Source organism: Homo sapiens, chromosome 4 (assembly GCF_000001405.40).
Source record: "Homo sapiens chromosome 4, GRCh38.p14 Primary Assembly".
Taxonomy (NCBI): Eukaryota; Metazoa; Chordata; class Mammalia; order Primates; family Hominidae; genus Homo; species Homo sapiens.
Window position 1 is genome coordinate 165,621,242 of NC_000004.12, and position 10,594 is coordinate 165,631,835.

At 38.6% G+C, this 10,594-nt stretch overlaps 1 annotated feature.

Annotated features, from left to right (window-relative positions):
- Positions 796–1,090: an enhancer, noted in NCBI's record as "tiled region #6683; K562 Activating non-DNase unmatched - State 24:Quies, and HepG2 Activating non-DNase unmatched - State 24:Quies". NCBI's record gives its function as "activates a minimal TATA promoter and a strong SV40 promoter by Sharpr-MPRA in K562 cells, with weaker activity in HepG2 cells {active_cell/tissue: K562 | HepG2}" and the evidence as "EXISTENCE:reporter gene assay evidence [ECO:0000049][PMID:27701403]".

Consider the following 10,594-nt stretch of genomic DNA (forward strand, 5'->3'; position numbering starts at 1 on the left):
CGGGCTGGATATTTGAGCTCTAGGGGAGAAGGCCTGAAGGAGCCAAGCAATTGTGCCATTGAGTTTTATTATGTTCTGGTCTGCACCCTTTGGAATGGGGCTAATGCTGTCTACACTTTCGGACTCAGGTGGGGCAGGCATAGTAAATAATCAGCCAAGTGTTCACTGTTCACCTAAAGTCTTAATGAAACATGTTCACAAGAGGTTGTCCAACAGTTTTTGTTTCCAAAACATCAATGTTACTTTCATGACTGCAGGGAGTCACCACTACCTAGAGTATATGAACACTTGACTGGTCTATAATTTTAGATAATTTAACTACCTTGTCAGGGCTTTTTTTTTTTTTTTTGGTGGAGTCTCCCTCTGTTGCAGAAGATGGAGTGCTGGAGTGCAGTGGCATGATCTTGGCTCTCCGCAACCTCTGCCTCCCAGGTTCGAGCAACTCTCCTGCCTCAGCCTCCCAAGAAGCTGGGATTACAGGCACCCACCACCACGCCCAGCTAATTTTTGTATTTTTAGTAGAGATAGGGTTTCACCAGGTTGGACAGGCTGGCCTTGAACTCCTGACCTCAGGTAATCCTCCTGCCTCGGCCTCCCAAAGTGCTGGGATTACAGGAGTGAGCCACCGCGCCAGGCCCAGGGCATCTATTTTTTAAACTGGCAAGTTTGGGACAGTCATGCTTCCTTATGTGGCTCCCAGATAATTGGAGAAAATAGGAAAGGAGTGAGTGAGTAGGTGGAGAAAGAATGTGGATGAGATAAATGGCCAGTGGGAATTTGAAAGAAGGACCCATGATGTAAAAGGTGAGATTCATTTTTGGCTAAGGAAGCCTTACAGAACTGGATGAGGAGACGCACTGTATGTAGTACGTGGTGCAAAAAGGAAAAAAAAGAGTTGGATGATCATAGCAGAGTAATGGCTAGATGTGACTCAGCAAACTGCAGACAGGAAACCAGTTTCCTCCAGGTAACAATGACTTTATCTGGTGGAAGATAGTGTTGGCAGGGGAAAAGAAGTCTCACTGGGAACTTGAAGAGGAAGGAATTGTGGCTGCCATCAGTAAATATTTGGATGACAGGGCTCTCATGCGGGTGTTTGTGAGTAAGGAACGGTAACAAAGCCTGGGCCACAGCCTCGTCATTAGAGAAACGCTCACTGTTTTAGAAAAAAGAAAAATAGTAATGAAAAGTAGAGATCTGCAAAGAGGATTTGAGGTTTAGAAACAGGCGAGAGGGAAAAAAAAAGGTGCTATGTTAAATTTGAGACCCCAGTGCTGGACCAGTTTTCCAAAGAGAAGATGGAGGCTGGGCGAGGTGGCTCATGCCTGTAATCCTAACACTTATGGGGGCTGAAGCAGGTGGATTACCTGCGGTCAAAATTTCAAGACCAGCCTGGCCAACATGGTGAAACCCCGTCTCTACTAAAAATGCAAAATTAGCCTGGCGTGGTGGCGCATGCCTGTAATCCCAGCTACTCGGGAGGCTGAGGCAGGAGAGTCGCTTGAACAGGGGAGGTGGAGGTTGCTGTGAGCCAAGATCACGCCACTACACTCCAGCCTGGGCAAAAAGAGCAAAACCCCATCTCAAAAAACAAACAAACAAAACTAAACAAAAACCAGAGAAGATGGAGATAATTTAAAGAGAAAATTAAGAATGTAAATAAAAATAACTTGATGAGTGTGCTGAAGGCTGCTTGATTAATAGTGCCAGCTAACATTCCGAAGGAAAAGAAAGTGGATTAAGATTTTTCAGGAGGGAAGAGAGCAGCACACAGGTGAGCCCGGTGGATGTCGTCACTGAACATACGATAGACTCTGTGGCAGAATATCCACACTTAGCCCTTACCTAGCCCTGATTGCCTGCTTTTCTGGGAATCAAAAGAGACTGAAAACCAAATAATTTTGCTCCTGCTAGGAAGTCTGGTAAATATCTGTCAAAGAGAACCTTCAAACTATTGACTATAATGAGGTTTGTGTATCTAATTTATCCATACTAGTCTCCTCTTCCATTATCATTGATTATGGAGAATATGCTATACTTCCTTCAGTAAAAAAGCTATATGAAAATGTTTAAAAAGCTGAGTTATACATGCTAAGCATACAGGATAATATGCAACTACCCAATTTTAGTCATTTTCATGACATTCATTGAAACCTGAATACAAATAGAGAAAATTTTCCAAATACAGAATTATTTTAAAGCAGAATAAGAGTTAAGATGCCTCAAAGAAGAACGAGATTTTAGAAATAATTATAATACACAAGTATTTAAGATACTTTGAGAGTCAGCACTGATTATAAAGAGTTAAGGAGTAAAGAACAGACATACATCATAGTCATCTGTCAGAGTAAATAGTTAGAGGGCATATTCTAGCTTCCTGCCATGTATGTTCTTGTTGAAAGAAAATGTTCATTTACTCTCCCTGTCTCATTTCTCTCAATCTGACCAATTCATTTATCTCTTTCTGGCTGTACTTTCTCTCTCAAGATGTACCCATGACCAGAATACCACTCTCATGGTTACCTTAGAATCTCATGGCCTCTGCTTTGCCCAGCCTCAGGCTCGAGTCACTTGCATGACACGCTCTGTGCCCTCTCCTCCTGGTCCAGATAGCATCAGCAAACACCCCAACCTGTGAAATGTTGGTCTACTCTAATTCTGTACTTCTAAATAGGTTCTCCACGGATGCTTAATATCTTCTTTATTATTATTATTATCTTTCAAGTTCCTCATTCAGTTCCAGAGCTTTTATGTCCCTCAGATCATCAGCCAGCTCCTCATCTCCAATCTCAGCAGAATACTGTGTCCCCTATGGGATTACTTATTCACTAGGTGGAATTTAGTTATAAAGATAATTTCAAAGCTGTCAGAAAATTTGAAGATAATCTTGTCTATCTCCTCAATTTACAGATAAAGAAACTAGGGTTAGATGTTAATTCCCTATGTAAAATGGAAAACTTTTGTCAAGAAAAAATTAACATTGAGGCTCTTCTTTCAACATGTTGAAATTTATATTACTCTGTCAAAGAACTGTAGTATCGGGTTAGCAATTCATTTTCACTTTATAACATTCTTTAAATAAGAGAAACAGCAACAGTCTGGATTCCTTCCCTGTTGCCCAGTTCCATCTTCTAACCCCAAATCACAGTACTTTCTCTAATATCCGTAAACCCCTACTCATAATCCCTAAATTCACTTCTCTGGTTGTTTGCTTTGATGTGAAAAAAACGTATTTTAATATCATACTCTTGAAAATGCTCTCTACTGCCTGATGTATGATTGATAGTTCTGAAAGAAAAGGGTTTGAAAACTGTTTACAAATATTTGGGTGTTGGCTGTTATGTGGAAGAATGTTCACTCTTATGTGATTCTAAAAAAGCAGAACTTGGATCAGTGGATGAAAGTTATAGGGTTGCCCCTTTCAGCTCAACATTCCATCAGTCAGCAAATATTCCTGGTATTCCCTATATACCAGGCATTTCTGGGGGCTGGGGATACAATGATGACAGAACTCAGTTCCTGCTCTCTTAGAGCTTCAGCTTATATTCTCTGTGGCCTTTAGTAATTGGCCAATAATATGATACACTATGACATGATATAATTAATATGATAATGATTAGTGGACCTAGAGTATAATGTCAGGTAATAGTATTATAAAGAAAAATAAAGACGGGTAAGAGAATAGAGAATAATTGGCAAGTCTCTCTGACAATGTGACATGTAAGCCAATAATTGAATGTATCTAGAGACCAAGCCATGCAGAGACCTGGAGTAGGTTGTTCTCATTAGGCATAGGGAATTGCACATATGTCTTGATTTTGGAATATAAGAAATTGGCTTGATTGTGATTTAGTGAGTTCTCTGTTCTGGAACTGTTCATAGTCTGGATTACCTGCCAAGGAATTTTAAAAGGTATCCCTACATTTGTTAGGAGGTCAAACTAGTCAACCTATCTTGAGATTCCTCTGCAGGTTTAAGATGGCTTAGAAGACAAAAAACCAGAAATTTAGCAGAAGAAAAGATGCAAAATTTATTTGAGGAAGTAAACAATAAAGCCGTAGTTTAAAGACTTTTTATGAATATCCTTGCTCTATGTTGACATTGAAACTTGGGAAGAAAATAGAACTAAATATAAAAATGAAATAGGGGCATGTTGAATCAGAAGTTAAAGTGATTTAGGTCATTCAGTTATGCACAGATGCATAACTATTCACCAAATGATTCAGAAATCATAGGAAATGACTTATAAGAGCTGATACTAAACTTTGTACGGGAAGTAATTTTGTAAGAAACAATTGTTTGTAAGTCTTGCATGATGGAACATTTTAAATTAGAATACCAGAAATGGTTGAAGGAGTATTTATAGATTTCTTTGAGCTCTTCTGAAGAAAAGCATTGCCACAGATTTTTGTTTTAATTTTATTGTTTTTTTCTTTTTAAAAAAACAGGCATCAAATGAAGGTAATTAAAATCAGAATTTATTTACTGTTGGAACTAAAAAAAGTCTACTGATTTATGTTTTTGTATCTTTATTCTTAGCAGAGGAAATTTATTTTAAAATTTAAACTGAAGAATGTAGATACTTCCTAGCAAAACTTCTAGCATTATAACACGGTATTTTATCTTTTGGAGTATATGGTAAATGCCACGAGTGATGGGTAAATATGTGGGCATATTTCAGCATCAGATTTTGGCAATCAAAATGGGCTTACATGGACAATATAATATGTACCTCATATCCTGATTTTAATCAAGTAGTTTTACAAACCAGAAAGAGCTGTGCTTTTTCCTCATGTACGTATATTTCCTTCCTCTCTCTAAATTGAACACGTATCAAAATCAGTGTAAACTGTACACAGAAATTGGGAAGTAGACACAACGTGAGAATGGACACCAGGAAGCCATTATTGCCACTTAAGAGAGGAGGACAATTGAATGCCACAAAGGATAAAATGTTTGTGAAACATAATGTTGCAAGTCAAAAGAAAATGCCAAGAATTGAACATACAAGAGTTTCTAGTCTCTGGACCAACTCCAAGCTCATTCTTCTGCATAACTGACATTTATGGAGACCAGATATGGTGCCACTGTGGTATATGTGAAATTAGTTCTGCCTACTTAGTTTCTGAACATATATGTGTATTACACATGTATATTTAGCCAAAGAAGGGCCGTATTTTGCCATGTTCTCCTCCAACATATTTTTCCAATAGCATAGGGGATGTCTAGAGGAAGTTGAGACGAGGCCAAGGTATGACAAATGAGAAGGGTCAGGCCAATATGGAGGTGGAGAAACATCATGGTTTTAGCACGTGTGGTTGATAACATTGTTTCTGCTTTACTTCTGTATTTTGAATGGGGATATTGTCAGGGAGACCAATGAAGCTGAACTGTATGAAATATAAAAAGTTACAGAAGAGAAACAGCTGCTCAAAGCTAAGTTTGCTTTCAGGACTTGTCATTTATGGAGATCGCAGGCTTTCAATCTAATGAAGAGTGAGAACAATTTGAAAAGTGAGTGAAATAAAACAATTAACAGAGCCACATGGGGCCAGGCATTATTGTTTAGGGAAGAATACTGTACTTGGGGCATAGCAATTCACAAAATAGTACCTACAACATTCCGGTCTTACATCTGTAGGTGTGTTTCTCATTTTTGTAGAACTGGTTTGAGCATAGGAAACTGATCAAACTTAAGAGAACATACAGGGGAGAACACTCATATTGACAGCTCACTTTAAATTCACCCACGATAACTGGCACTTAGAAACCATGGACAAATTAAACTGTGGATAAACTAAAGAATGTTTGTGATGTTTATAAGGAACTTCTGACGGCCAAGAATTTGTACAGGCTGTTTTCTCTGTAAAGAATACTTGTCCACACAACCTCAATCGCCTAACCCTTGGTTATTGTTCAGATGTTGCTACAGATATTTTCCCTAGAAAGCCTTCTACTACTCCAAGACTAGATTAGGTGTCCTGTGCTCCTGTATAGGGACTGTTACTGTACTTATAAGTCTTGTTAATTTCTTGAAGGCAAGAATGGTGTTTGGCCAGCTGCTGTAACCTTACACTTAGCACAGCTCTTCCTAATATGAAAGAGCTTCAGATTTGCTGGAGCCAAGAGTCAAGGGGAGGAGCTGGGAAAGAATTAAAGCTGTAAGAAGTCGTCAAATTATGAAAGATCTTAAACACCACGTTAAGGAGTTTGGTTATAGTTCAAACTTCTACTCAGTATAAAGTAGAGCTCATAAACATCCTAAAATGTAGTTATAATTTACATTGCTAACCAGTCACAGAAGAAGGAAAATCAAGTGATTCAAATATATTTTATGCTAGTTATCAGGAACCCACGGGGTACCATTTAATTCTGCTGATATTTCATCTTTCCAGCCACATACTTTGACATATTATGGGACAGGAACCAACTGTTGTTCTTACTTATAAAATGGATCCTTAGATTCTGGGAGATATGATTGTAGTACGGAAGAGAGCACTCGTTCTGCATGGCGTCCTGTGCTTTCGTTTTTGTTCTGCACTGCATGTTTCAGGAGCCCAAGGCAGGGGCTGCTATTTTTTTTTAAGGATTTCCTTGGCCTTGCCCATGTCAACACATTCATTTGATCTCATCCACCTGAATTTAGAGGCTAACTGAGAAGAAACCCTACCCCTCTGGAAGGAGTATCACACTTTATGTCCTCAGAAGATTGAAGAAATCATGACTGAGAAGCTCCCTGTTTTAGATCATCATGTGAGACTAATGATATGAGTGCCTTCTCAAAACTTAGACATATCTCCGTTTTAAAGAACAAAGCATTTGTCTGACTTCAAGTATTCTAATACATGATTGGTAAGGAGTATTGCTTTGATTTTATTTTCATAGGACCTGTAATCTGGCCTGGTGACTTTTGTAGGCAGGAAATTATAACCAGCCCTATGTTTTTTTTTTTTTTTTTTTGAGATGGAGCCTCACTCTGTCACCTAGGCTGGAGTGCAGTGGCACAATTTCGGCTCACTGCAACCTCCGTCTCCCAGCTTCAAGCGATTCTCCTGCCTCAGCCTCCTGAGTAGCTGGGATTACAGGCACACACCACCACGCCCGGCTAATTTTTGTATTTTTAGTAGAGACGGGGTTTCACCATGGTGGTCAGGCTGGTCTCGAACTCCTGACCTCGTGATCTGCCCGCCTTGGCCTCCTAAAGTGCTGGGATTACAGGCGTGAGCCACTGCGCCCGGCCAACCAGCCCTGTGATTTTTAAAGAGATATTCTCGTAAAGGCTCCTGCAACTGCGGCTTAGAACCATTGAATTACCTATAAGAGTGACATGCCCTTTAGGTGACAACCTAAAATAATAATAAAAGAATAATACAGTTGGTAGGAACAAGATCCAATATAGGGTAAGTGATACTGAACTCCTGCTGGCCTTGACACTCTGACGGGGCAAGAGGCCTGGAGGAAGCCCAGTTGGAAAGCCAGCCTTTACGGGTTCTTGGGCAAGAAAAGAACGCTGGAATGGCAAAGCCTGAATGAGTCATTTTACACACCACAGGAAATATTAGGAGGGATTAAATAAAGTCCCCCTCAAGTACAACCTGTAAAGTGACAGTTGAGATCACCTTGCCTATGGCAAGTGTAGAGCTTGCTCTTTATTCTTTGATAGTTTTCAAGAGATGAAATATCATTTACATAAAAAAATTTGATTATTGCATCTTGTAAAATGTAAAGGCTAAGTTGAGATTAACAAACATAGTATTTTGAAAAATATTAATTCATTAAGCCTGCCATTTTGGGCAAATTAATTTTGAGCTTTAGTTTTAAAATAACTTTAAAATTAACTTTAAAAGTATTTAAAGAGGAGGAAACATGAAGAATAGCAGTAAGTAACAAGATCTAGGATACATCTTATTAGTGAACTAACTTTTCCTCAACTTAAGGACCTTTGGAAAAAGAATTAATTCTTGAGCACCACTGTTACACATTATTTACAACCAATTCAGTAATGTGTTAAATTGAGATCTAATAGTAAAGGGAACAGATTTGTCGGCTTACAGGCTAAACTTACATCAAAGAAAGACTTTGACACTGGAATGGATTATGCCCATTGCATTTATTTCCTATGGCTGCCATAAGAAATTGCAATAACCATGGCTTAAAACAATAGGAACTTATTCTCTCTCAGTTCTGGAAGCCAGAAAGCCACTTTCCCTTTGAAAGCTGTAGGGAAGAGTCCTTCTTTGTTTCTTGCAGCTCTTGGTGGCTACTAGTGTTCTTTGGCTTGTGGCAGCATAACTCCAATCTCTTCCTCCCTCCTCATATGGCCTTCTTGATCTGTCTGTGTGTCCTTTTTCTGTTTCTTATAAAGACACTTCATCGGACTTGGGGCCCACTCTAATTTAGTATTATCTCATGTTAATCCTTAACTAATTACATCTGCAAAGACCCTATTTCCAAATAAGCTTACTTTCTGAAGTTCTCAATAGACAGAAGTTTTGGGGAGACATTATTCAACCCACTACAGTAATTACAAATTAAATCAATCAAAAGATAACTGAGAATCTTTTGGAGTGCTCTAGACTTTTAGTACTCTAGGTATCTGCTAAATAAACATTTATCCTAACATACTTAAAGGATCCTAGTGATTGGGGAAAAAAATTACAAAGTGTAAATATTAAAAACAAACATTTCCTAAAGTAATACACACCCCAGATCTCTAAAATTAGATCAGAATTTGTTTCTAAAGAAATCACGTACACATATTTTCCTTTCTATCTATTTTTTTGCTGAATCTTCACATAAATTTTTAATTTTAGGGAGAATTAGAAGCAGGCATTTGTAGCCTTTTCCTGTATTAAAATAAATACAATAAAAAGAGTTACCCAGTGGGAATTTTAGCTGCTTCTTATATCTATGTTGGACTACCTGAATGTTTTCAACACAATTATCAAAGTAGACAAGACTATTTGTACAGTTCATGTATACTATGTTTTATTCATTACTACAGTTTGATATCATGTCAACATTTTCTTATGTTGATATTTGAAAAAATATTTAGAAATCTTTATTGCTAATGTAATGTACAGTGTTCAAAGCCATAGGTTTGGTTTTCAAAGAGGACTGTTGGTAATTTCAGCATTGTCATTTGTCAGTGCCAGTCTGTCCCTGCCATTTGAACCTTTATTAGGTAAAGGATGCCTGATCTGAGGGTTTGCTTTTTCATTCATTTATAATTTTTATCTCTTCACTTACCTGTTGCTCACGCTTGTTTCCATTGAACTAGTACTGACCCGTATGGTCTTTAAAAAATTGATAATTGCTCAATTTAAAAAAAAGCAAAAAAAATTAAAAATTCTATTTTGATGAATATTGACAGTTTTTTTGTGTTTGGCAAGAATGTACATAAGGATGGATCATTATATTGTGTTTCTTAGATTGTCAGAATATTTCTCTTAGATCAGAATACAATATATTAATTATTCCTAAATGTTGACTTCCTCAGGCCTCTACCTAAAACAAATTTGTATAAAACCTTCAAAGTGCTTTGCTAACTATCCTTATATCTATGACTAGAAGGAGATGGTAAGCTCTCTGTCCTGCCTGGATTCTGGTGTCTGCACAGTGCTTAGCATCAGCAGAAAGTTATGCCAAGTGTGCCTTCTTTTAGTACTTGATGAATGAATAATTTCAGGACTACTGATTAGACACAGTATTTTAGACAGACAGTTCAAGATCTCTGATAGCAGCATCCAGATTCCTATCATCAGGGAACATCCACCACTTGAAGGGGATGTGTATCAGCTGCCTCTAATATATCTCAGGCATCAAAGGGTAGTGACAATTTTCAAATCTCTGAGAAAGGAAGCCTCTCAGTCAGTTTCCTAAATTGAAGCAGCAAGGAAAAAGCCAATTGCCTGCTCAGAGCCCTGTTTTAGGGGTATGGTTATTAGAATCTAGGTCTAGCTTGAGGACAATATTTTGGACTTTCAAAAAGAGCACCTAAAAATCTGGGTTGGGTGATTTCTGGCCACAGATGAACTTTCTCTTGACATTCTCTCTTGGGGGAAAGATCACTTGAGGGACATGCAGCTCACTCGTGCTACTGAGGCTTGTCAGGACAGCCCTCTTGTACTCACCAAAAACTCGAACATGACACACAGTCCTTGGTATTTCTAGAGGGTAGCAGATCATGTTGTTCCCTGGCTGCAGCCAGAACTTTTTACACATACTGGGGAGTCACGATGACTCTTAGATGCTAGCTATGTTTCTTGCAAATGGCAAAATCTTTGTCTTTTAAAGGTTGGGGCTTTGCTTGTCAGGGTATTGTTTGGAGGTAGAGGTGTGAGTGTGGGTGTGGCATGATGGGAGCCAGGGGCCAGGCAACTTGTCCCATAGCCATTACCAGAGAGGCTCTAGGAAGGTATATTTACAAGGTAAGGTACACTCCTAAAAGCCCTGGGCAGGCAATTAGAAGACCTATGGCAGCTACTGCCCTGATCCTTCTATTTAGTAGCTGTGATTTCTGACAAGTTATGCATAAACATTCTGGGTTTCAGGTTTCTGCTCTGAAAGTCAAGTATTTCTGCCCTGGGTTTCT